We start from the raw sequence: 25,601 nt of genomic DNA, 5'->3' as shown, positions 1-25,601 counted from the left end.
ATTATGCCTTTATGATGGTCTTTGTTCTAAGTATGTTCTGGTTGCTACCAATACACATCAAAAATATGAACTTTGGTGTATAAATAGTCGTAGTTTCCCCATTTTACAAACAAATTGGACACAACTTTCAAGTATTCTGAAGGAGAGGTCGTAGGTATTGCACCTAATGTGGGTAATTCTGTGTCAGCCAGGCAGCCTACTACTGTGTTCCTGCACATGATTCTAACCCTGGAAGCTGTATTGTCTCTGCTTCTCAGCTCCCAGCCAAGCCCTCTGCACCTCTCCAGAAATAAATTGTGTGCAGATAGCTCTGGAGAGAGAAGAGCATGGTGTGGAGGGGATTGTGCAATGTGATGGCCTTTTTTAGGTGACATTATGGAAAATATTTTCTTAGCAATGCACCTGAGGTCATTTTTTAAACCTTTGTGGAGAACAAGTGAAAGTTCTGATCACAACTGCAGGGCCCTTCTGTTTGCGGGACAGGGACAAAACAAGTCAGAACTTCCAGCTGTGAGTCACTTCAATAGCTCTGGATACCCTCAACTCTTATCTCTTAATAGTCCTAATTTTAGTTCTCTGTTCATTCACTTCTTAAAGCGAATGAACCTCAGGGCAGAAATTGTTCAAAGTCATTTGTTTGGTGGAAGGAATCCTTGTGTGCTTTATCAGCCACAGAGTCACAAAGGAATTTTGTTTTCTTAGGATGAGTCCAGTAAGTGGAAAGTATCTATTTTAAGATACTGATAGGAAGGGATGTGGGGAAAGAGAGGAGAGATTTTTATCTGTAATGTTGAACTCATATCACATTTTAGGTCGTGAACCTAGCGAGCATCCATTTGTAGAAGCCAGAAGCAATTGCAAAACTTGCAGAGTCTAGGGAATCTGGTATGACATATTTATTGTTTGATTTCCCTATGAAATTAATTACAGTAGTATCTAGAATAGTCATCATATCAAGTTATGCGTTACACTTCTTCCTGTTGGGCCCTCATTGATCTTGAACCCTTTGTGCTTAGCTCGCTCTGGTTATTTTTGTTATTGAATTATGTTTTAAAATAGGCCCTCATATTTAAGTAGTAGAAATGTATCTTGGGAGATAAAGTGAGCCCTTTTTCAATCTGTGTCTTGAGATTTTTGAGGAGGGATGCACGGGCCTTTCAAGATAATTCCCAACCCACTCTCGACATCTCCTGTCTTCCCCCATGCTCATGCTGCCATGAAATAGCTCCCCCTCCAGGCCCCCTGCCACTTCCGCCAGCCTTTATACCCAACAGGGGCTCCACACAAGGGGTGCTTCCTGTTTCATCTCAATATGTCATAATTTGTAGGGAATTGTCTTCATTATAATCAGATTAAGTATCTCAGTGTCTCCTCTACATGTGAGAGGCTTTTTTGGTACTTTTTGCATATTCTTGGCTGAATGAAAACCAATTACTAATTATGTATTAGTCTGAGAACATAGTGTTTAGGGTGAATATATCTGAATTAATTAAGTGCCATTAATAATGCCTCTCAGGATTTATGAGCATATTCTTTGCTTGACTTAAAAATGATATAAATTAGTGAGGTTTATTTTTTAAATGTCACACTGTGAGATGGCTTTGTGGGGACACCCCTGTATGCCGTAATTTCAGAACCGTTACCAGCTGGGTCTCACTTATTTATTCCTTGTCCAGTAGCTATTTAGTATTCCCATTTTTGCAGCTTAATTGCAACCTCTCTTTTCCTGCCAGTGTGAATTTAGTCTTACATCTGCAGGAGTGATACTCATTGCAGTCAGCCAGTCTCACACGAAAAAACAAACCTGTGTGTTTTGCAGTGTTGGAGGGAACTTGCATGTGATGTAAATGTCAATGCCTTGCTCAGGAGAGGAATCAAGGTACCTTTTCTGAGTTGGGCTATATAGTAATTTAAAAGGAAAGGCCCACATAAATGTTACTGTGTTTTGTGTTAATTATATTTTTCATGAAGGAAACTGAGACAATTGGCTTTAATAAATAATTGGCTTAGAAGTAGATTTTACATCCTTCAAGGATATTGTGTATGATTCATTAAGATTTAATGGAGCTTTGAGGAGTATTTATTTTCCCTTTTTTAAAATGACAAGAAATGTTAGATGACAACTTTTCAGTCACACAGTTCTTTCCAGATTTACATTGTGCTATTATACCACAGCTGGTGTAATTGTAGTAGCCCATGGTACATATTCAGTTAAGTGTGTATTTTATCATCTGCCCTAAACATGTACTTAATTACTTTTTTTTTTTAAATAAGGAATCTTTTAGAAGTTTTTTTGAACACAATGAAGACTTAAATTTCAGGCAGATATCTTATGAAGTTGCTAGGAATCTTATCTCACTGGCTGTTAGGAATTTGAAAGTATCTTGGGCTCAGCCAGTCCAGCTCCCTGAATTTTATATTCCAGGTAACTCATGTGAGTTATGTTGGCAGAAGATTTAAGATTGGACTGAGTTCCAGGTACAGCTCTACTGTTTAATAGCTTGGGCCTTTTCTAATCTCACTAAGCCTCAATTTCCTTATCTGTGTAATGGGCATGATAATAGCACCTCTACCCCCTTGGGTTGTAAAGATCAGATAAGATACTGTGTGTGGAGTGCCTCACGTGGGTCTTGGCACATGTGCACCTAGCATGAGCCGTAAGGTTAGTGCCAAGTGTGGCAGTGAGTTAGGGTAAAGCTGAGCCAAGCCTGAGGAGCTCTCCCCGGCTTCCTCCCTCTCCCTGCCACATGTCAGCTCCCCCTCTGCTCTCTCCCCTGCCCCCACTCTTGAGTCATACCATAATCAGGGACATTTTGGCGCTCTGCACTAGCCCTCTCCGCCCCGTTTGACCCTGTTTCTATTGATGCAGACAACAAAGCTGCTTTATTTTATGTCATCTTTGGAGCCCCAGCATGGGCAGCTTTGATGCCCAATGGCCGGGCAGCAAGGCAGTGCAGACCCACACCTGCAATTTGGGGGTGACTGGCACGGCATAAACAGGAACAAGAAGTCCGGCATAAACAGGAACAAGAAGTCGCTCCCAGGATGCCCTGGGGCCCCAGGCTCCAGCCACTCTGTGTGGGGCGGGGAATTTCTAATACACTTGTTTTACAGGCCTGTGAGTGTGACCAGCAGTACAGAGAGAACTATACTGTGTTTGCCAAAGGGGATTGACAACCATTAAGTATTTGACAACCATTAAGTGTAAAGTGATATTGCTCTTTTGCTGTGAGAATTTTATTGAATATTTGCAACCTGAAGGAACCTTAAAGGTGGCCTGTATGTGATAGTATAACTGGTGCTTTCACTTTGTTCAGCTAACCTAAGAAAATTTTAATAAACTCAAAAACCACTTTCATCTTCATGAATTAAAAACTGTTTGGATTTCACAATATATGCTTATTCCTATAAAGGGTGTATGATTCTTTCCTTCAAAACAGTAATGGTTAACACAAATCTTTCTGTTTCCTTTATGAACATTATGTAACATATAGATAGAACTATATGTGTGCGTGTTCCCAATATAAGTATCTTAGAAAAGTGTCAATTCTTTGTATAAAAAATACTGATGAAAGGACAGGTGGGATGGTTCATGCCTGTGATTCCAACACTTTGAGAGGCTGAGGCAAGAGGATCTGTTGAGCCCAGGCAACATAGCAAGACCTTGTCACCACAAAAAAATTTTTAAAATTAGCCATGCATGGTGGTGTGCGCCTGTAGTCCCAGCTCTCAGAAGACTGAGGCAGGAGGACTGCTTGAGCCTGGGAGTTCAAGACTGCAGTTGGCCATGATCATGCCCCTGCACTCCAGCCTGAGCAACCCTATCTTTTAAAAAAAAAATCCTGATAATAAGTGTAAAATAATGATGATAAACCACTGTTAGTTATCAATTTTAGGGTAGATCATATAGAATGGTTGGTCTAGGTAGGATGCCAAACTAATAATTTAAAGTTTTCTAAAACTGGAGACTTTGAAACCCAAGAATCTTTATTTTGAAATCTGAAAGTTCACAGCCCAGAGCGCTATATAAAATATTGAAGTTAACAAATAGGATTAACTCAGCCTTCTTCAATCTGGGAGCTCATTGCCATTACCTGCATTTGCACCAAAATTTGAACTAGAGACAAGCAATATATTTTAGTTTGGGTAAGAGCAAAGTAACAGGCTAAAGGAGAGAGTTTTTCAGGAAGTTAAATGTCTTTTCAGTTATTAAGCAGCTCTGCAAGTAATCCATTTCAGTAAAACTGACGAATGATCGCTAAGCCTCATATACAACACAATAAAATGTGTTGTAGAAAAAATAATATAGAGGCTCATGGGTACACTATTGAAAAAATAGTTTACTAATTAAAAGCTTCTCTTTTAAGTAGTAGATCCTCTGTTTTGTGAAGTGTTTGTTTACAAGTCATTAAATCTAGCTACCACCTGACGAAGAAGTTTTCTGGGGGGAATCCGGAGGGGAAATAAAGCCAAAAGCAATGTGATGCAAATGTAAAGAATGAAAGGCCACCTGGAAGAAAGATAAAGTAGCCATAAAGTAGCTGTCAGATCTAACTCAGTATCCTGCCGCACTACTCAATTATGAAGGTATAGATACTGCTGTACCAGGACATATTACAATCTGCAAAATGAGAGGTTAGACTATATGATCTCCGAAATTCTCTTTTAATTTCAGCATCTTATGATTCCATGTAAACCATTTGATTTTTCTTCTTGTCTCATTTCTTGTCTTCTTAGATAAAGAGGACCAAACATTCTCTACCTCTTGGGGTAGTCTGGTTTTGGAAGATGGGGAATAGCTAAAAGTTTGTGTTTCCCTGACATTTAAATGACACAGTAGTCAGAACTCTCCGTCCCTCAAGGGCCATGTAGGGCTGCACTCCTTCCAAGAAGCCCGTCACCCACACCCGTGACCACGGGCTCCTGCTCTGTGCTTCTGTGGCACTTGTTGTCTGGCTTCAGCATTTCTTCTGTGCTGCTTGGTATTTTACTACATGTGAAGGTCTTGCACCATCGACTACAGTGGAAAACTCCTTACAGTCAGGGATCTTGTTTTGTACTGACTTTCCATTTCCAAGTGATGGTCCTGGAACTCCTTTCCCCTTTATGTCACACTCAGCCAGCAAACACCCTCCATCCTGAAGAACGCCTGTCATCCTGTCTCTGCACCTGCACCCTGGGGTTGAGCTCTGCCAGAATGAGGAATGTCATCCACAAGTTCACTTGGTTCCTGTACGTGAACCATCACAAACTGTGGATGACGCTCAGCTCTGCCCGGAAGCCCAGCCTCCTGTCTCTATTTAAACTTGTCCATCCACATTCTGCAGTCCCCTTTTTAAGCTCTCTGTGTTCTCTTTAACCTTTGAAGTCCTCAGCCTGCTTCTCACTCTTAGCAGGTGGCCATGGCCCTAATCCCCAGAGAAAATAGGAGCCAGTGGTCGGGAGCCCCATCTTCCCTCCATCAGTTCTGCTCCCTCCCCATGACACCTATCTCTTTTCCCTCCTGTGAACAGGAAAGTCGCTTCCCTCCTCAGAGCCTCTCCTTCCTGCATGCCTGAATCCCATCCCCTCCCACTTTCTCGAGAAGTGCTACGGAATGTCCCTTCTCTGTCAGGTCCTCCCTCTGTCCCTCATCCCTCTTCATCTCGCTCCTGTCCTTCCCTGCCAGGCTCCTTAGAAATCAGCCCTGTGCAGTGCCAGCATTTCCTTAACTCAACTTAGTCTGGGTTCCATTGCTACACTCCACCGAAACAACTCTGCCAAGGTTGCCAAGGACCTCCTGTGCCGTTCAATCTGGCTGACATTTCCCAGTCCCTGCCTTCTCAAAAGCATCATGATCATCCCATAGCATGTTTGAACCCCCTTTTCCCTTCACTCCCATTGGGTGGCCCTGTGCTTTTTCACTTCCTGCCTCGATGGCAGTTTTCCCCTTTCTCATCCTCTTCTCCAGGCTTGGAAACATTCCCGTTCTTGAAGACTGCTTCTCCGCCTTCCTCCCCATCACACCGGCCCCTCTCCAGGTTACCTCATCCACTCCTCTGGGGAGCTAATGTCTGATGCACAGATACACACATTTTTATCTCTTGCCCCTGCTGCCCCTGGGAACTTCAGACCCACCTGTCCACGGCCTACCTGACATTGACACTTAGATGTCCCAAGAGCGCATGAAGTTTAACAAGCTCAAAACTGAACTCTTCTCTTAAGATGCATTGTGCCAGTCGTTGGACCCACCAGCTTCCCCCGCATGCATGCAGCATTCCCTCCATCTTTCCCTACATTTCTAGTCTGTCATCATCAAGCCCCATAGATTTCAGCACTTCAGCATGCCGGAGTCTCTCTGCTTCTTTCGTTTCTGCTGCCGCCTCCGCCCTCTGCTGAGCTGCTCTCCTCTGTCTGGTGCAATTCTACAGCAGCCGCTTCCCGGTGCTCCTGGGCCTGTTGTTCATCCCTTTCATGCCACGCACCTTGTCTATTTCTGCACTGTTTTCCCATTAACAGTGTCCCCTCCTCTCTAGGACTCGCCTTCTTCCTGGAAGCCCTGTCCACCTGCCCTCTCCTTTCTCCACGAGCCATTGCTGCCCAGGGAAGCCTCACATGCCTCCCCCATCTGGCCTGGGCCTTTTCCATACTTGCTCGTAGCCCATTGTGCTTCTCCCTCCTGACTCTGTCATTGTTAGAGTTCAACACTTGGGGCAGTTCTTCAGTTAATGTGTCTGCCCCTCTGGACCATAAGCCCCAAGAGGACAAAGACTGGTGTCCGAGCTGTGCCCAGCACAGAGTGGACTCTTAAAGGTTGTGCTGACGCGAGGATGGGTGGGGAAGGAAAATCAATAAGGAAAATTCTCAGTTTACTCATTCCATGTTGGCTGAAGTTTTCATATTTTCTCCACAAAACATGTTCCAGAGCAGGTACCATAAAGCAAAAGGATGCAGAAAGTTTCTGGTTTCCTGTTTCCTGTCTGAGAAGACTCTCTTAAGTGATACTGATTTAAGCAGCCTGAGGAGGCATCAAAGCTTTGGAGGATCTGCTGAACACATCACGCGCATTTAAATAATCAGTGTCTGATCCCACCTCCACGTTGGGTTTCGCTTTCTCTTGTTCCACAAGATATCGAAGTGCTGATTGAGTTGGCATCCAGCTTCATTCGCATTGTGTTTATTATCACAAGACTTGGATTTCCATTATGATTTTCTTTTTCTGTTATTTTTCAAACTTTGATATTCCACTGATAGCATAAGGATACATAAACTTTAATTTTTCATAGATATACTCTGGGAATGACTTAGTATCATAAGATGCTTGAGTAAAGTGAACTGGAGAAGCTATATGACGTTAGATTCCTGTTTTTGTTCAGTGGGTTTGAGAAGCTAGCTGTCAGCTGTCACTATCATTCCTCTGTTGTGTTTGCCTTTTCTCTCTGGCCACCATTCCTTTCTTCTCTTTGCATTTGGCCTTCTTTAGTTTAACTACAGCGTATCTAGGTATGCTTTGAGTATTCTTACTTATATATTGCTTTGAGTATTCTGCTTTTTTTTGTTTTTTTTTTGTTGTTGTTGTTTGTTTTTTGTTTAACAGACATGGATCCACTCTGTCACCCAGGCTGGAGTGCAGTGGTACAATCACAGCTCACTGCAGCCTTGAAATCCTGGATACAAGTGATCTTCCTTCATCAGCCTCCTAAGTAGCTGGGACTACAGGTGCACACCACCACGCCCAGCTAACTTTTGTTATTTTTTTATTTGTTAGAGACGAATTCTGTTGCCTAGGCTGGTCTCAAAGTCCTGGGCTCAAGCAGTCCTCCTGCCTCAGCCTCCCAAATTGCTGGGATTACATATATGAGCTGCTGTGCCCAACTGTATCTACAGATTTATAACGTGCATTAATTGTGGAAAATTCTGAATCATTATTTTTTCAAATATAATCATCTTTTGTTCATCTTCTATTTCTGTATAATTTCTCACAGCTTAAAAAATTCTATATCTGATCATCTTAGTAACTAAAGTCTTGAAAATATTAATTAGTCGTTGCTGTCTCTGTGAGCTCATGTTTGATTGATCTTCATCTGTGGGAAGCCTGGAGGCCTGGCAGGGGTTGCTCTCCTCCGGAGATCATTTACATTTACTTCCACCAGGTGTTGGGGCCACTTTCAAAGGCTTCCTTCAAGGATCTCAGGTTAACGTTGAAGCCTTTGTTGAGCTCCCAGCTTTCGTTTGGCCCAAGTAAGTGTTGAAACTGGCATTTGTCCTCGGAGTCCCTCCTTTCAGGCTTGCTTAATGGTCCCCACACTCCCTGTGGATTAAACTCACTTTGGGGGAAGAAAGGTGTCTTGGAGATTGCCTCTACTGTCTGTGAACCCAGCAATGTGATTAAAAAAAACAAATAGCTCTATCAAGCAGCTCATTCTTTTGTTGTTTGCTTGTTTTGTTTTTGTAACTGAGAATCCTTCAGCGTACCTGCCTTCTATCCTACTGGAAGCATAAATCTTTGACATGGTTTTTATTGCTAGCAACAAGGAAAGTCAACATGCAAAAATAGTTAACGAAGAGAAAGTTCAGGTTTTTCAAAATTGTGTCCAAAGCTGTCCCTTTCATTCACTGGAACTTGATCTTACCCTTTGTCCTTTGGAAACACATCTTTGCTTTTGTTCTTGACTCATGTCCAACCCACCTCCTTCTCTTGTAGTCCTGGGACCACGTGTCTTCTTCCTTCCCTGAATGGAGGTTCTTCTTTTGGTAAATTCATGCCCCACCCCAATCTTTATTTTTAAACTTAGTTCCTGTAAGGGAAGTAAAGAGCACACAGATGAGTTCAATATATAAATCACGTCCATTAATCCAACAAATATTTACGTGAAAAATTTAAAAGCTTTCTTTCTCAGATAACATTTTCTTTACAGAAGGAAGTTGTCCTGGACATGTGACCAAAGGGTCTGTGGGATGAGGTTGTGGAGGGAAGGTAGGGAGAGTGGATGGGCAAGAAGCAGGGACAGGTGGCATGAGGATTGACTCTCCCTCACCACTGCCGTCCGGTGGCCACCATGGACCCAGCATCAGACAGACATAAGAAGTGGGAATGAGGAAGGCAGGAAGAGAGATTATGATGGCAGAGGGAAGGAGGGTGGGTTGGTGGGTGGGAAGAGAAGTTCCTGTGTCCACCATGTTTTTTTTCCCAAGGTACACATTCAAGTCAAGTCCTCCTCACCTGGATAGTAATAACCCATGCTATTTATTTTATATTTTTCCAGATCAATGAACTGAGCCATGTTCAAATCCCTGTTATGTTGATGCCAGATGACTTCAAAGCCTATTCAAAAATAAAGGTGGACAATCACCTTTTTAACAAGTAAGTACAAGTATGACCTTTCATAAGACTAGCGTGGCTGCTAGGAGTACAAGTTTTGTGAATTTTTGTAATCACATAATTTGTCAATGGGTGGGAGTAAAGTTTTGCTGATGAAGTTAATCCTGTGATAAACATAACCATCTGTCATTTTTAGAGAAGCAACAGCAGGCTCTCTGGGATAATATCCTTTGCCATATGGCATATTGTTCTCTATGAATATCTTATACGTTGAAAGTGATATTCTCATTATAATTCAAATTTTTGAAGCTGTAAATTGCTTGGATTTTTGAGCAGTTATGAACCTCTGCTCTTGTACACAGAACTTTGAAAATGATGATTTATGAACAGCAATGACTCCATCTTAGAACAATAAAGACCCAAGGTACATTTTCATAAGGCACAATTAGATGCCATGTTGGGCATTGATAACATTCCTCCTTCATTTGAATGTTGTTTTAGACGTCATTATGAAGCACCTATTATATGTTAGGTGGTCCATTGAGAGCTAGAGATGCAATGATATAGAAGACACGGCCCTGCCCTCAAGGGGCTCAGAGTACAAAAACTGACACATATACAAACTGCTATAGTTCAGTGTGCAAAGTATGATAAGGGAGGGGTGTGTGCATATGTATAATTTAATTTATCTGGTTGTGTGGGAACACAAAGAGGGAAACAATTCTGAATGATTAGGGTGAACCTCAAATCACTCCCATGTGAGGATCATTATGAAATTTTTTTTTGAGACAGGATCTTGCTCTGTTGCTCAGGCTGGTGTGCAGTGGTGAAATTATATCTCACTGCAGTCTCAAATTCCTGGGGTCAAGCAATCCCCCTTCCTGAGCCTTCTGAATAGCTGGGACTACGGGTGCAGGTTACCATGCCCAGCTGATTTTTTAAAAAACTTTTTGTAAAGACAGGGGTCTCACTATGTTCCCCAGGCTGGCCTCAAACTCCTGGCCTCAAGAAATCCTCCCACCTCAGTCTCCCAAAGTGCTGGGATTACAAATGAGTGGTGTAAGCCACCATGCCAGGCCAATTATGAAATTTCTTCAGGGGGCCATTGTCCTTATGTGAAGCTGATGTTAATTTTTCTCATAACAGTGTTTAGAAGCTGACTTTCAGGGAATTTCCTCTAAGCAAATTTAGAATGTGGCATTTATATAAAACAGGCCTTTTAGGGGGGTGAGGGAGTGGCCCTCCTTTCCTCAGCAGTAGCTGAGAGGGAACCTTGCTCCGCTGCCTCTTCCTAACTCACTCTCCCGCCATTGTGCTTTTCCCTCACTGCTCCCCCTGCCTGGCCCGTTCCTTCCCCACCTCTTGTTCTTTGAGGAATGGCTGCAGTGTGTGGCCAGGATTTAAAGAGGTCACATAGTCCAAGCGTGCCTGTGACAAAGGAGACAGACAGACATCCGTCTGGCCCCCTGTGTCTCCTGGATCTTTCTGCGGGTTGTACCTGGTTCTAGGAAGCACACCTGTGCTTTTGGTAGGCAGTGAACTCTGAACCCTTCTTTGGCTACCTGTGGAACTCAGTGGTGGCAGATGCAAGTCTGATTGACTCTCTCTGAGCTTTATTCCACGCTGTGACTGTTTCAGAGAAAACATGCCGAGCCATTTCAAGTTTAAGGAATACTGCCCGATGGTCTTCCGTAACCTGCGGGAGAGGTTTGGAATTGATGATCAAGATTTCCAGGTGAGTTGCGTTTGTAACATTTGCTTCCAGTAGGAAATGGGTTTTGCCATGACTTTTGCTGTGTCAATTGGGATCTGTATTTTTGTCAATAAAAGTATTATATAATAGTAATTTTCATTTTGTGTAAGAAGTTTTTAATGTTCATGCTGAAGTAAAGTGTTCTCTTGATTGGGGACCTCTATACATATGATACCGGTATAAAAGTCAGTAGGAAAATATATTACTTTTCTTTGGAAGGAGACTGAGCATGTGAGGGTTTTATATAATACTCTCATTTCCAGGTGGAAATTAACAGGCTAGCAGAGCTGCCTGTTAATTTCTGCTGTCAGACATGTCAGTAGCCTGTGTGAGTGTGCATGTTTTGTATCTTCGTAGAGGCTACTTAGGACTCTCAGGAATCTTTATCTTGCTGATTTGCTGCTTTTCAAGTTGGTCAGACTCTTGCTGCAGCATTTTTGTCAAAGGGCACCCTTTGTGCACTGCAGTGCTGGACTGTGGAGTGACCATAGCACTGTGGTCAGCACCAGGAACCCAACATCCTGGGCGTGTCCTGTGGTACATCTTCCTCTTCATCTTGATTCCCACCACGTAAAAATGTGCACTGCTGCTCTCCTCCCCACACTGGCCTGGTCCTTCATTCTAACTTTTAAACATCTGTTTTAACTCTTTAAATAACTGTTGAGCCATGATCATTTTTTTCTGAGAAAGGATTTGACATTGGTTACCCAAGTTTCATATAGCGAGCCAGATTCGTAAATGCTAAGGATTTTTTTTAAAAGTGGAAATCCAAGGGACAGGTTGAGTATCCCAATCAGAAAATCTGAAATCCAAAATGCTTCCAAATCGAATATTTTCTGATCATCAACGTGATGCCACAAGTGGAAAATTCCACAGTTAAGTGCTCAACACAGCCTTTGTTTCATGTACACAATTATTTAAAATATTGTATAAAATTACCTTTAGGCTATGTGTATAAGGTGTATATGAAATAGATAAATTTCGTGTTTAGACTTGGGTCCCATCCCCAAGATATCTCATTATCTTTGCAAATATTCTGAAATCTGAAAAAATCTGAAATACGACTGGCTGCAGGCATTTCAAATAAAGGATGCTCAGCATATACTGACTTAAGTCCCTTCAAATCTAGTCCTAATCTGCCCTCAATTTAAGATCTGAATTTATCCTGCATTAAGTGACATATTGCCACCCTGGGTGACTACAGATTGAGTACTGATACAGCTTACCCTGTATTTTCCTCTGAAGAATAGGGTCCCTCAGGCAAACTGAGATAGTTAGCACACTTTCCTAAAGATCTGTGCTCCCACTGCCCTCTCTGTACCATTGCCAAAAATTTCCAGGAATTTTTCATATGTTTACTCAGGCATGAGAGAGGCTGCCATGTTTGGAGAAAGCAGCGCTGACCAGGCTGCCGGTGACATTGTCTCATGATGGCCTGGGGTTGTGGTTTACATGGAGGTCCAGACCCTGAGCTGAGGCTCTGTGTACACAGAAGAGCTGAGGGCTGGCTAGTGGGACAGGAAGGATGTGGTTGCTCATCTGCTATTAAAACTGCGTGGGAGCCAACACTCCTGTTAGGGCGTTTCTTTTTTTTTCTTGATACAAGGTCTTGCTCTGTTGCCCAGGCTGGAGTACAGTGGTGTGATCATAGCTCACTGCAGCCTCAAACTGCTGGGCTCAAGTGATCCTCCGACCTCAGCGTCCAGAGTAGCTAGGACTACAGGTGTGCACCACCATGCCCAGCTAATTTTTTTTTTTTTTTTGGTAGAGATTGGGGTCTCACTATGTTACCCAGGCTGGTCTCAAACTCCTGGCCTCAAGCCGTCCTCCCAGAGCATGAGCCAGTGCACCTGGCCTTGGGGCTTAATTTTTAAGAGAGAACTTAGATCACAATTATGGACTTGAAATTTACTGCTGTAAAAATAATTAACTTTAACAGAAAATTATTAGAATAGTAAAAAGCATTTCTCTGAAGTTAAAATTAATAATTCTGTATCACTTTAGAACCATTACTAAATTTAAAGAGGCCACCTGAAAATGAACTAGGTGCTTTTTTTTTTTTTTTAAAGGAATTAACAGCAGATAGCTTCAGTGTCTTAAGAAAATCTCCTCTGCCTTAAGAAAAGCTGAACACCAGTGTGTTCCTCCTTCTCTCCACGTCCTTTTTTTGTTTGGCTGGGTTTTGTTTTAATAAAACAATTCCACTGGCATTTCACAGAAACTGACTTTTGAGGGCCCATGCATCTATCTTATCTTGTTAGATTCCTCAATTCATTATTGAAATGAAGTCTTTCTATTTCTTGTCATAATCAATTCTGTCAAATGAGATCCAAAATGAACCCATTATGGTCTGAGTTCTGCACTGCAGCAGAGAAAAGTAGTTTTTAAAATTTCCTCAAATGACCAATTTAGTTGCTGAAATGCAAAGACATGAACTGGTTTTCCTTCCCTTTTTTTCGCCCTACAAAGAAAACTACGTAAGTTGATATTGAAGTCAGTACAAATTGCTGAGTACAAACTTTGAAAGAAAATTAGGCAAGTGGAGGATGATTCACAAGTAACTAATTGGCAAGTCCGTTAAACTCTTCACATGAGAGCTCCCTGTTGGGGAGAGTGGTGTGAGTGTGATTAATCATTCGAACACTCCTCCTTTCCTTAGCTCTGCCTGCTGCTTTCTCTTTGGCAACTGTATTTCTATTAAAAAAAGAAAAAAAAGAAAGAAAAAGTGTGTATTCAGAGTCACTTCAGTACTGCAGAGGTATACTCTTCTTCCCTCCTCAGTCGTATATTTCTTTCCCAGTGTCTGTACCTCTTAAAATTCTTCAGTAGGGTCAGGGACCCTGAGTTCCAGCTGAAAACAGGATCGTAAATCTGGGGCTGTATCCCAGTCTTTTGGCTACTTGGTTTGGAAGAAAGGAGGGTCGTTGTGACAGCTCTGGCTCCAGGGTCACCTCGCAGGCCCCTGTATACTGCAGGGATTCAGGCGGCAGGCGGGCAGGGGCCAGGACCTGGGGCTTCAGCTGCCTGGCACATTGTTACTGCCCAGACAGTTCAATCCTCATGCCCAGTTCAAGTAACAGGTATCATTTGGCACATGTGGCGCCAAATGACTAAAAGCAACCTTGTTTTCCTCTCCTGGAGCTTGCCAATGTGCCTTTGCTGAGTAGAGTCTCCCACCGGCCGCCTCTGTCACTCCTGGGTACTGGCTGCTGAAGACTGCGTATATCGGAAAAAAACCAACTCTCTTTCTGAGCTTATCAATGTGAGCTGCTTTTTGAATACTCTTTCCCAACTGACTTGGAAAGTAGGATCAGTGACCTAGGCTCTCATAGTGTTTTGGAGGACACTGGATAGCTGAAGGGGAACAGGCATTGCCTGCTGTGTTTATTTTTCCAAACTGCTTGCATTTTGGACAAGCGGCTCTAAATCAATGTGGTGGTTAGGGGCTCCATCGTCTGGTTTATCTCGTATTCAGACCTTTCCATTCAGCCAAGTGGGTAAATGGTCCCGACTTGTCTTGTTTGTGTGACCACCTTTTTGCTACACCTGAAAAAAGTAGGTATTGGTCTGTGGAGACCACTCTGATTAAAGCAGAGCATGGTTAAGTAGTAACCTATGCAGTTGACCCCTACTGGTGAATTTAAACTTCTTAAAAAGTTTTTAAGATAAATGAAAAGGATAATGAAATGAAAAATGAAAACATTCCTGCTTTCTCAGTAAACATTTGTATCTTTCCTCTGGTTTTGATTTCTGGAATATCTTTTAAAAATGACTTTTCCTTGTTGTTAAAGACAAATTCAAAGAACAATTCTAGAATATCCATTGTTAATAACAGTACCACAGTACCATGTAACATACATATGTAAACCTCTGTGTGTGTGTGTGTGTGTGTGTGTGTGCGTGCGCGCGTGTGTGCTCGCGCATGTGTGTAACCAGTGCTTCTAGATTCAGAACTTTTTCCAATTCATTAGGGCATTTTTAAATTGCATGATAGGTTTGTAATATGCTCAGGGTTGAATCAGTGTGTCATCAAGGTTCTGATCATTGTTTGGCCAGCATGATATCCATCGTCATACTTTAAAGGTGTGTTTCAGGATGAATGCTGCCTGGGAGGCCTGTTCTGTGACTATAGCCGCAGTCCTGTGTCTACCATTACCACTGCCCCCTTAAGCCCTGATCACCCTGAGGTCTGGGATTTCATGCATAATTATCCAGTCAAAGTATTTGTTTGTACCTACCACATGTCAGGCTCTGTGCTAGCCGTTTTAGGGAATGCAGAGAGAAGAAAGGGTGAAGCATCACTTTCTTTAAAAACTATTGCATACCAGATTCTGTATTAGATGCTAACGAGATTTACAGAAACCCAGCATCTTGATTTGTAATGTTCTTCATGAAAATCTGCACCCCTCTTTCCAGTCTCTTATACTCATTTGATCGTCTCTTATGTTTATACCCAGAGAGACTGGAAAGAGGGGTGCAGATTTTCATGAAGAACATTAAACAGCCCTGGGAAGTCAAACGGAGGCTTCAGTTACATTTAGTAGCTGCCAGAGAGGGTTGCCTCCCAGAAACCAAAAAGTTATGCAGGAGGGAGCTGATGCTGTTAAACCTAAATAGACCACACATTTGAAAGTGAGGCCTCTTGTTCACTGTGGAGGATAATACCAGGTTTGCTTTTCCCCTACTGTGACTCCTGAATTAGAATCCCTCATTATTGACATCTGATGCCCTTTCTTCTTTGTGTTTGTAACAGAGAATTCTAATTTTAAAATAATTAATTTTAAGAGCTAACATTTTAAACTTTTGATATTCTTATTTCAAGTTTAGAAATAAAATTCTAAAGTGTTAAGACCTTCAGTGTATACTAAACTTGAAGTGGGGCAGCAGGAATTCTGCCTTTATCTCTAGAATATCAAGTCTATCCTCTGAAACTTTCACTTGTAGATTTCTCACTTTTGACTTTAAACTGCCTGAGGGCAGGAGCAGTGTTTGTGTTTGCTGGCTGCCTGTCACCCGTTGAGCACAATGCTGGGCTCAGCAGGCACTTAAGAAATATTTGCAGTCAGGACAGTGGCCACACCTGTAATCCCAGCTACTCAGGTGGCCAGTGCAGGAGGATCTCTTGAGCCCAGGAGTTCGAGACCAGCCTGGGCAACACAGTGAGACACCATCTCTAAAAACATGAAAAATAAATAAGTAAATAAGAAATACTTGTGAAAGAGAGTGAGGGCTAATGGGGACTTTGAAGAGAAGTGAACTCTCTGGGCCCAAGCGGAAGGCAGGAGAGCCCATGAAATGTGAAGGTATTTGGATGGTGGCAGAATAGTGGGAGATAAAGATGTTAAAATAGCAAGAAACACAAAGACACCAGGGACACTGGGCCGATTCTGCTGCCAGCGAGCAGCCCTGTGGGTTTTGCTCAGGGGAATGGCAATGTCATGACATCTGTATTTTCTTTTCTTTTCTTTTTTCTTTTTCTTTCTTTCTTTTCTTTTCTTTTCTTTTTTTTTTTTTATAGACAGAGTTTCACTCTGTTGCCCAGGCTGGAGTACAGTGGCACAATCTTGGCTCACTGCAGCCTCCCAACTCCTGGGCTCAATCGATCCTGCCACTTCAGCCCCCTGAGTACCTGGGACTACAGGTATGTGCCACTATGCCCAGCTAAGTTTTGTAATTTTTGAAGACACAGGGTTTTGCCATGTTGCCCAGGCTGGTCTCGAACTCCTGGGCTCAAGCGATCCACCCACCTTAGCCTCCCAAAGTACTGGGATTACAGATGTGAGCCACTGCACCCACCCGAGGTCTGTATTTTCTAAAGATAACTGCATTGTAATTTATAGAATGCATAGAAGGGAGATAAGGAAATCAGGAGGCCATGAAATCCCAGTGAGCCAAGCCTCCGTCACCCACCATGTAAAGCACGGAGCAGCTTGAAAAGACATTGAGAGAAGTAAACCCACAGGTTCAGTGGCCAGTGGCAAAGGACAAGAGCCACAGAGGCACTGGGACCTGAAAGCTAAGAGAGCAGGGATGCGGGTCACAGAGGGAGGGATGTTTGGGGCTACAGGTGGATAGAAAGGAAGATGGAGTTGAGTTTTTGACCTGTTGACTTACCGTAGTGGTAGGATACCTGGTGAGGCTTGTGGCCTGCATTGGGCATTCTGGGTCACAACTCTGAATGAGGTTGGAGCAGAGGTCCAGCTGTGGTGAGGATTGGCACAGTCGTGCTTGTGGGACTCCTCCTTGGTCCAACTCTAATGCTCAACCTACACCATCACCCCTGTGCTTGCTCCTCTAATGCCTAAGCACTGTCATTCCTTTATCACTAGTAGTTGCCTGTTGGGTTTGCTCCATTTGTCCTCACAGGTTAGCTGCCCTGGAAGGAAACTCCACCCTGCTCAGAGACGCACTGAGGCTGAGACCCAAGGGAGGCCCCTCTCTGATTGGACAGCCTCTTGATAGACTGGGGGAAGCTCCCTCACAGCCCATCAGGGTCAGCAGGCATTTCTTGCACTGTTTCAAGTCCTGTTTATGAACTGAGCAAATTACTGTTCCTACCACCACCTGCCCCCACCTGGGACCCCAGGCTTCCTGTTAGCCTGTGTTTCCCGCCTCAAACCTGCTTTGGGTTTTGCCTCGTGGCTTTTGACAGAGAGCTGACAGCCAGTCATCCTTGCTACTGGGTGCTTCTCTCCAGGTTAAACGCTGTGTTTACCGTGAGCCTTGGGGACATGTTCCTGGTTTGTTTTTTTTTTTTTTTTTTTTTTTTTTTTTTTTTGAGACAGTCTCGCTCTGTTGCCCAGGCTGGGTCCCTGGTGTTTTAATCATCGTGAAACAGCAGCTGAGATTTAGAAGATGATCTCATGGCACTCTGTGAAGTTTCTGCAACTCTGTTGCTTTCTCTGTTGGTCATTGCCTTTCATTTTTATATTCTTTTTTTCTGATAAGTTGTTTCATTATTGATAAGTGTTAAATTGCACTGTGTCTTGCTCCCCTCTATAATGAAAGCTATTCTTCACTTGAGATCACAGCTTAGATTTTCTTTGAAATTCCCCAAGAGCTTAACACAGGGCTTTGAACACAGTGGGCATTTAATAAATCCTTGATGATGATGTTCAAGTTCCACATTGGTCTTCAACTCTCTGGCGGGGTCAGAGGACCATCTGTGCTCGCTCAGATATGTCAACTGCAGACCCAGAAAGCAGCCTTCTCCAGACAAGTTGCTCCTGTCTCCTGGGCCGTGTGATTCGAGGCATGTAATCATAATCCTGAGCTGTCAGCAGGGCAGTGATTGGTTTCCAGATTTCCAGTCCATGAAACAGGTAGCCAGGGTTGGGGAAAAGAATATTTCCGGGAAGTTAGGAGGCCTGGTTGAGTCTTGGATCTTCAGTGACTGATGCTGTGACCATGAGATACTCACTCACCCCTGGTGGGTCTCAGTTTCCTCATCCATAACATGAGGAGAGGGACACAGTGCTCTCTCCGGCCCCCCAGCTGTCAGGTCTCTAAATCTATTACTGTGCCACCGTGAGGAGATGGCTGTCACGTGAGTTCTGCACGGTATTGGCATGTTCCCTTATACGAGGGTGGCTTTACACATTTGAGCATGGCAAAGTTTAAGTGGCCCCTCTTTCAACCAAAAATGAAAACTTTTCATACATGATTTTTAGCAGAATGTATACAAACGACCATCAAAATGGAAAAAAAAAACAAATTATACAAGACTTACGTGATTAGTTCAAGAGAATTAAATATGCAAAATGCTTGGTTGTTTAAAAAATGCAGGGAAAAGTAACTGTTACTAAATGAGGACACTTTTATGAGAGAGAGAAAAGATTGGCGGTAAGAATGAGCTAATTAAATTGACATTTATGTTTCCTTCCCCCTTCTGGGGGCTCCACTAATCCTGGACCTCCGACTGCGGAAATAAACATCTTCAGCGCAGACGTTTAGAGGAAGGGGGAAAGGACAGCATCGTTAATCCTTTTCTTAAGGGAAAGGACAATAAATTTCCAGTTATAAATGTAAAAAGGCATTACAGAGGGAGCTTCATCTATCATTGCCTTCCTTTATTTGCTGTTGAGAGGACCGAGATAGCACCAGAGCCTCAAACAGCTTTTGTGGTTTGAGCTAGGATAGTGTAAGGTAGGAAAGGTATTTGGCTATGGGAAAAGTACATTTATTCACCACGTTGCAAAATAGGCGAAAATGAACTAAATTGTCATACTCTTACCTGCCCTGCATCATACAGCTTTGCCCTAGAACTTGAATGTTTGTCCAACTGTTCGTTTTTCTCTAGCTCCCTATGCTAGGAGCAAACTTAGAAGCAACATTTATTGGCTGTGATGTGTCCACTGCAATCGTGTATGGGTGCTGGCCTGAGTAGAGAGCACTTGCCAGGTCACCTCACTCATCCAGAGACAGCCTCATGGTGGATGAGTGTGTCTAGGCTAGGGCACTTGAAAGATCAATGTTTGGGCCAGTCACAAACACCTGTGTAATGTATGGTTACATCCATATGAAATGTCCAGAATGGGCAGATATATAGAGACAAAGATCAGTGGCCTTTCTAGGCTGGGGGATAGGGGAAGGAATGGGAGTGATTGCAGATAGGTTCAGGTTTCTTTTTGGAGTCATGAAAATGCTCTAAAAATGATTGTGGTCATGGTTGCATGATTTGGTGAAAACATTAAAAACTGTTGAGTTGTATACTTTAAATAGGTGAGTCATATGATATGTGAGTCATATCTCAAGGAAGAAGAATGCTTGGAGTTTGAAACTCGTTTAATTTATTCAGTAAGAGACGTTTTTTTCCCAAAAGGTTGAAACTAGTTTAATTTATTCGATAAGAGACAGTTTTTCCCAAAGTTGATTTTGGCTGTTGTTGTTTTTTTGGGATGGGTTATGGTATCAGTATTTTTATTTAGAACAGGTGACTTTAACTAATTTCGTAATTTATAATATGAAACTATCAAATGTATAGAAAGAAGAAAAGGAATAGCCAATGAAGAAAGTGTATTTTTGCAGTTTGTGCATGTTGATTATTAGATTTTTTTCCCATAAACTAATAGTAAATCATCGTCCATTCCCTAAGTCTCTACAAACTGACAGCAGAATAATAATTAGAAGAATGAGCAGGAAGCTTAGAGACCATTAAGTCCAGCTGTCTTTCTTTGCAGATAATCAGATAACAGAGTAAGGGAGGTGGGAAGGGTGAGTTGGAGGGAGGACGCAAAGCCCTGACTTCAGCCCATTGCTGTTGAGATGGATCACCCTGACACTCTGAGGCTGCTTCCTGGGTCCATTCTGTTTTGTCGTCATCTATGTCCTTTGCCCATGTCTGGTTTGAGAGGTCACAGGGAAGTGAGCAGGGGCCAGCAATAGAAGGAAGACCTTGTGGGCTGGGAATTTTCAATCTGAAACTTCCTTGTGAAATTTTAAATTCTCCTTTTAACATGTAAGTTATTATTGAGGCCTTTAGGAAATAACTTACTGTCACTTTTGAACTGATAGGTGCAGAATCCCCAATTTTGTCTGTTTGTTTTTATTTTTTAACAGAGTCTCTGTCTGTCAACTAGGCTGGAGTGCAGTGGTACAATCATGGCTCGCTGCAGCCTCGAACTCCTCAGCTCAAGTGATCCTCCAACCTCAGCCTTCCTTATAGCTAGAACTACAGGCACGCACCACCACATCCGGCTAATTTTTTAATGCTATGTAGACACAGAGCCTTACTATGCTGCCCAGGCTGGTCCCAAACTCCTGGCCTCAAGTGATCTTCCCACCTCAGCCTCCAAAAGTGCTAGGATTACAGGCATTAGCCACTGTGCCCAGCCCCCAATTTTGAATTTAAATAATGTCACTTTATTGCAGACCATATAACTCTCCAAGTGTGTCCATGACAAGGAATTTGATTTTTAATGAGAGTAGATCTCTCCAAAGCCTGGGTGGATTTCACTGGGTAATTTTATCTGGCTGCTTTCTCCTGAAGACAGACAGGTAGATAAGGGTAAGTGTTCCAGAAAGTGAATATTTTACTTTGGAGATGAAGAGGACTAAACCAGCCCTCTAAAGGGTGTTTTTAAGGCCTTAGGTAGGATCAGCTTCATCTCAGATTTGCCCTTTTAAATTAGGTGATTGAGAAGAGAAAGAATTTTTCTAAATGGTGTCTTCTGCTAGGCTTTTTTTTTTTCCATGCAGAGCTGGTCTTAACTTGCAAATTTCATCTTAATTTCTTTTTTTCCCTTCTCGTTTTTTTTAATCCTCCCAGCTTAGTAGTATAGAGAGTGCATATAGAATATAGAGTAACCCAGAATTCAGCACTCCCAGTATAAAAGATTGCTCCTTTCAACTTTGGCATTCTTTGTGAAGAAAATCTGTGGAGTTGTAAGCAGAGAAAGTGGATGGGACAGTCTTCTAAAGGCAGAAACCAGTGACAGGAGGAAAACAAGAACCTCCGACAATTCTCAGACCACATAAACTAATTTAAATAGACATGATGCAGTGTGCCACATGGTCAGAAATGTGAAGAATTCTTAGGGTTGACATCGTCACCACAGTCAACAGGACTCACAGGAAATGCTAAGTGCTGGTCCTCCTTCAGCCCTGTGTTACGCTGTGTGAGTGCCTGACTCTGGGCCCAGGGCTCAGCAGCACGGTCTTCCTGTCCCAAAGGCTTATTCCACAAACACATCTGTCTCAGCTCCTGCGTGGAGAGAAGACAGCTCCTACTCTTCCTACTCAGTTAATGTAAAGTAATGAACAGTCCTAGAATGAGTTCAGATAGCTTTGTACACATGTTAATAAAAGTGTAAATAACAGACTCCGGACTGCATTAGCACTGTGGCTGTTACTGATATTTTCTACACACTTTACTTGGCAAAATCGAAAACCTGAAGACAGGTTTGGTTTTGTGCCAGCTGGCTCACACTCTAAATTGGCATTAGAAGGTGTATGTCACTATAGAAAAATGACTGTCCCTTCATAATGCCCACCATACTCTGGAGCCCAGGCAGGGAAGCAGCACGGCAGGGGGAGATGGAGGCTCTGGGCAGGGCCCCTGCAGGGCCCTCCATGTACACCAGCCCACCTGATGTTGGAGAACTGAGTTGGGCAAGTCATTTCTGCTCTCTGGGTCTGTTTTCTTATCTGTATATTGAGTGGTTTGGAATCATCTCCAAGGTTGCTTCCAACTCTAATGCTCTTTGAGGTTTATTTATACATGGAGGGACCCCTCGGGGGCACCTGAAGGTCACTCCCAAGCTCTGTTTCCATCAAGGGCCTCCCAACTTGTCCAAGCATCCAACATCATGCTGTGATTCCTTTTTCCTTTGCAACAAAACAAAGCACACTGAGGAGTTTCTTATTCAGTGTCAGTAGATAGACTGTTTTGAGGCAGCACAGTGACTGTGTTGAAGATATAAGACCTCCTTCCCTGAGCTCATGTGCTCGTTCTAGCTGACGTTGTCCTGAATACATCTGGAATCTGTGAAGTGTTATTTTCACTGCATGTTCTCTTTCATCTCAGCCCAGGTGTCCTAAACCATCATTAGGCCCCTGCTGAGATGATGGTTGTACTGTCTTCTGATCGGACTCTGTTTCTTGGGACGGTTGTCCTGAGTCACCTTCCGAGGCCCATGCTTTACAGCATTTCCTAGAGCAACGAGTCGAGTCTTCGAGTAAATCCTTTTTTTTTTTTTTTTTTTTGAGACGGAGTTTTGCTCTTGTTGCCCAGGCTGGAGTGCAATGGCACAATCTCAGCTCACTGCAGCCTCCGCCTCCCAGGTTCAAGCGATTCTCCTGCCTCAGCCTCCCGAGTAGCTGGGATTACAGGCATGCCCCACCACGCCTGCATAATTTTGTATTTTTAGTAGAGACGGGGCTTCTCCATGTTGGTCAGGCTAGTCTCGAACTCCCAGCCTCAGGTGATCTGCCCGCCTTGGCCTCCCAAAGTGCTGGGATTACAGGCGTGCCCCACTGCGCCCGGCTGAGTAAATCCATTTTTAGAGTCATAAAAGATCCAAGGTAGAGGTCTAATTCAGCCTGTTCTCTCCCCAAGCTTATTTTCCATCACTTCATAGACCCGGAAACTAAGGCTCAAAGAGACTAAATGCAATCTACAAGAACTGATGAATGTTCTAGATCTCAGACCAGTGCCCTCACCATTACCCTGTGCTGCTCAGGTTGGAGTGCGGTGGTGTGATCTCGGCTCATTGCAATCTCTGCCTCCCAGGTTCAAACAATTCTCGTGCCTCAGCCTCCCAAGTAGCTGGAATTACAGGCATGCACCACCACACCTGGCTGATTTTTGTATTTTTAGTGGAGACCGGGTTTCACCACGTTGCCCAGGCTGGTCTCGAACTCCTGGCCTCAAGTGATCCGCCCACCTCAGCCCCCAAAGCGCTGAGACTACAGGCATGAGCCACTGTGCTGCCTTTAAAAACACATGTCTGCTGCATGCCTTGGAAGAAGGCAAGAAAGTAAATGATAATAAAAATACATAAACAATTTTACTTTATTTTAAAGGCTACAAAAAGTCTATGATTATGATGACAGAAGTTTAGTCTTATCTTTGTAAATCGCCCTTTTTGGTTAGTTCATAGAAAGCTTTAGACAGGAATCTTAGGCACATTGCTTGGCTCCATTGTACACTAGTTTCTTTATCTTGAGGTGGGAAAAATGGATCTAGCTTTTCCTCTCTCACAGGAATATTGTGAAAATAAATATGAAATAATGAGTTGGATTTTTCCAGGCCTTAGAATCATTCCAAGGATCAGGTGTTTTGTATAGAATTGCATGAACTCTTTTGATTTCCTCCTTATCAGATAAGGCTTTTAATACACTTGATTTATGTATTTTTATATTCATAGTGATATGAAAGGTACATTCTATGTTTTGACACAGTGTTCCTAACTTCATTGGTTATTTCATGTTCATGAACCTTAAAAATATTCAGATAGTGTGGGTTGGGGCTACTCACGTGGATTATTAAAATGGTGATTTGAGACAGAATCAAGATTCGAATTTTTAAGGTTTTATATCCCAGGGTGAAGACATGGCTGATATCCTAATCCAGTGTCTGCATATATGATTATAGTAATGCCTTTGAAATTGAAAGAAAAGGCACAAACTGGGGAAGAGGTAGTATCTGAGCTAAGGAGTTCCTACATTATTTGCTTTTACGTTTCCAGCCCTTTATAAACCCATATGTTGCGCTGGGCATGGTGGCTCATGCCTGTAATCCCAGCACTTTGGGAGGCCAAGGCAGGCAGATAGATCACTTGAGGCCAGGAGTTCGAGATCACCCTGGCCAGAATGGCAAAACCCTGTCTCTATTAAAAATAAAAAAATTAGCTGGGCATGGTGGCACATGCCTATAATCCCAGCTACTCAGGAGGCAGAGGCACGAGAATCACTTGAGTCCAGGAGATCAAGGCTGCAGTGAGCCAAGATCGCACCACTGTACTCCAGCCTGGGCAACACAGTGAGAACCTGTCTCAAAAAATAAAAATAAAAAACCCTGTACATTGTCCTGGTACTGGTACATAGTATTATTAAACCCTTCTTTAATTAGTAAAGTAAATGCCATGAATTATTATTCTGAACTATAAAGTTTCCCATTTTAATCGAACTAGAGGTGTAGAGAATATAATGGGAAAGGCATGAGTGCCGGTAAGTCTGTAATTATAATGTACTTAATACGCTAGACTTTACGTGCTGCATGCCAGTAAAACACAGGGTAAACACCATTCTGTAGACCTTGGTTCTCATGTGTGGTCTGCAGACCCACTCCAGCAGCAGCATCTACTTCTGAAAATGCCCCACCCCTGACCTGCTGGATCAGAATCTGCATTTTCACATGATCCCTGGGTGATTCAGTTGCTTGTTAAGTTTGAGATGCACTGACTATGCAGCTTTTGATTCACCCTATTGGCCCATGAGAGGACGTTATACTGTCCTATCTAATGTGCATAAGAAAACGATCTATGAAACTGAGGCTGCTGGAATTCTATCCTGTGCTGAATACAGTTCTCCTTTACTATTCCCCATCCCCCAAAAGTTGTTTTACACGTATTGTCAGTTTGACAGAGTTTAAGGTCTGTTCCACTTGGTCTGCTCCACCTGGCTTTCATAAACTTGATTGTTCCCACTTTGATTTTATGCCCAAAGATAATCTGCAATCTTACAGTTCCTAGAGTTCTTGTTTTATTTGAAAGAAATACCCTTTTGCAAATTAGTGATTGCAAGAAAAAAGTAAGACCACTAACAAAGAGCAATAATTGCTTTTTGGGGGCTAGCATTTAAAACCCCACAAGGGGAAATTCACTTTGATTTTCTTCCTTTTTGTTCTAAGTGGGAAGTAGTATAAAGGAGATCTTGTTCATGTTTTAGGAAAGAAAAATGTAATTAAGAATTAAACTCTTGTTAATGTAGGCATTTTCATCCTGAAAGTCATTTTTATCATTCTCAGTCTATCTAATAAATTTTAGTTGTCTTAAGAATAACTGAACACTGCCAAGTCTTGCTATTTAAAGTCATTGGGGATTATGT

At 42.8% G+C, this 25,601-nt stretch overlaps 1 protein-coding gene across 6 annotated transcripts in view, besides 10 other annotated features; it reads left to right on the top strand.

Moving 5' to 3' along the window:
- Nucleotides 1–25,601, top strand: part of PIP4K2A (phosphatidylinositol-5-phosphate 4-kinase type 2 alpha) — a 179,725-nt gene that overhangs the window by 95,616 nt on the left and 58,508 nt on the right. For all 6 annotated transcript variants that reach the window (XM_006717450.3, NM_005028.5, NM_001330062.2 and 3 more), the window contains exons 2-3: nucleotides 9,246–9,343; nucleotides 10,940–11,036. In XM_006717450.3, coding sequence (XP_006717513.1) covers nucleotides 9,246–9,343; nucleotides 10,940–11,036 — 195 coding nt within the window. The remainder of the gene's footprint in view (nucleotides 1–9,245; nucleotides 9,344–10,939; nucleotides 11,037–25,601) is intronic.
- Nucleotides 229–523: a silencer, noted in NCBI's record as "tiled region #2326; HepG2 Repressive DNase matched - State 5:Enh, and K562 Repressive non-DNase unmatched - State 5:Enh". NCBI's record gives its function as "represses a minimal TATA promoter and a strong SV40 promoter by Sharpr-MPRA in HepG2 and K562 cells {active_cell/tissue: HepG2 | K562}" and the evidence as "EXISTENCE:reporter gene assay evidence [ECO:0000049][PMID:27701403]".
- Nucleotides 2,754–2,993: an enhancer, noted in NCBI's record as "active region_3140". NCBI's record gives its function as "activates an Ori minimal core promoter by ATAC-STARR-seq in GM12878 lymphoblastoid cells {active_cell/tissue: GM12878}" and the evidence as "EXISTENCE:reporter gene assay evidence [ECO:0000049][PMID:35858748]".
- Nucleotides 2,754–3,501: a biological region, named in NCBI's record as "H3K27ac-H3K4me1 hESC enhancer GRCh37_chr10:22904391-22904959".
- Nucleotides 2,933–3,501: an enhancer, noted in NCBI's record as "H3K27ac-H3K4me1 hESC enhancer chr10:22904391-22904959 (GRCh37/hg19 assembly coordinates)". NCBI's record gives its function as "activates a minimal SCP1, AML or CMV promoter by ChIP-STARR-seq in naive H9 embryonic stem cells {active_cell/tissue: H9 hESC(naive)}" and the evidence as "EXISTENCE:reporter gene assay evidence [ECO:0000049][PMID:30033119]".
- Nucleotides 3,024–3,073: an enhancer, noted in NCBI's record as "active region_3139". NCBI's record gives its function as "activates an Ori minimal core promoter by ATAC-STARR-seq in GM12878 lymphoblastoid cells {active_cell/tissue: GM12878}" and the evidence as "EXISTENCE:reporter gene assay evidence [ECO:0000049][PMID:35858748]".
- Nucleotides 3,124–3,193: an enhancer, noted in NCBI's record as "active region_3138". NCBI's record gives its function as "activates an Ori minimal core promoter by ATAC-STARR-seq in GM12878 lymphoblastoid cells {active_cell/tissue: GM12878}" and the evidence as "EXISTENCE:reporter gene assay evidence [ECO:0000049][PMID:35858748]".
- Nucleotides 7,884–8,418: an enhancer, noted in NCBI's record as "NANOG hESC enhancer chr10:22899474-22900008 (GRCh37/hg19 assembly coordinates)". NCBI's record gives its function as "activates a minimal SCP1, AML or CMV promoter by ChIP-STARR-seq in naive H9 embryonic stem cells {active_cell/tissue: H9 hESC(naive)}" and the evidence as "EXISTENCE:reporter gene assay evidence [ECO:0000049][PMID:30033119]".
- Nucleotides 13,721–13,870: an enhancer, noted in NCBI's record as "active region_3137". NCBI's record gives its function as "activates an Ori minimal core promoter by ATAC-STARR-seq in GM12878 lymphoblastoid cells {active_cell/tissue: GM12878}" and the evidence as "EXISTENCE:reporter gene assay evidence [ECO:0000049][PMID:35858748]".
- Nucleotides 17,328–17,487: an enhancer, noted in NCBI's record as "active region_3136". NCBI's record gives its function as "activates an Ori minimal core promoter by ATAC-STARR-seq in GM12878 lymphoblastoid cells {active_cell/tissue: GM12878}" and the evidence as "EXISTENCE:reporter gene assay evidence [ECO:0000049][PMID:35858748]".
- Nucleotides 19,789–19,838: an enhancer, noted in NCBI's record as "active region_3135". NCBI's record gives its function as "activates an Ori minimal core promoter by ATAC-STARR-seq in GM12878 lymphoblastoid cells {active_cell/tissue: GM12878}" and the evidence as "EXISTENCE:reporter gene assay evidence [ECO:0000049][PMID:35858748]".

Source organism: Homo sapiens, chromosome 10 (assembly GCF_000001405.40).
Source record: "Homo sapiens chromosome 10, GRCh38.p14 Primary Assembly".
In the NCBI taxonomy this organism is placed as follows: Eukaryota; Metazoa; Chordata; class Mammalia; order Primates; family Hominidae; genus Homo; species Homo sapiens.
This window is presented reverse-complemented; position numbering and strand designations above follow the sequence as displayed.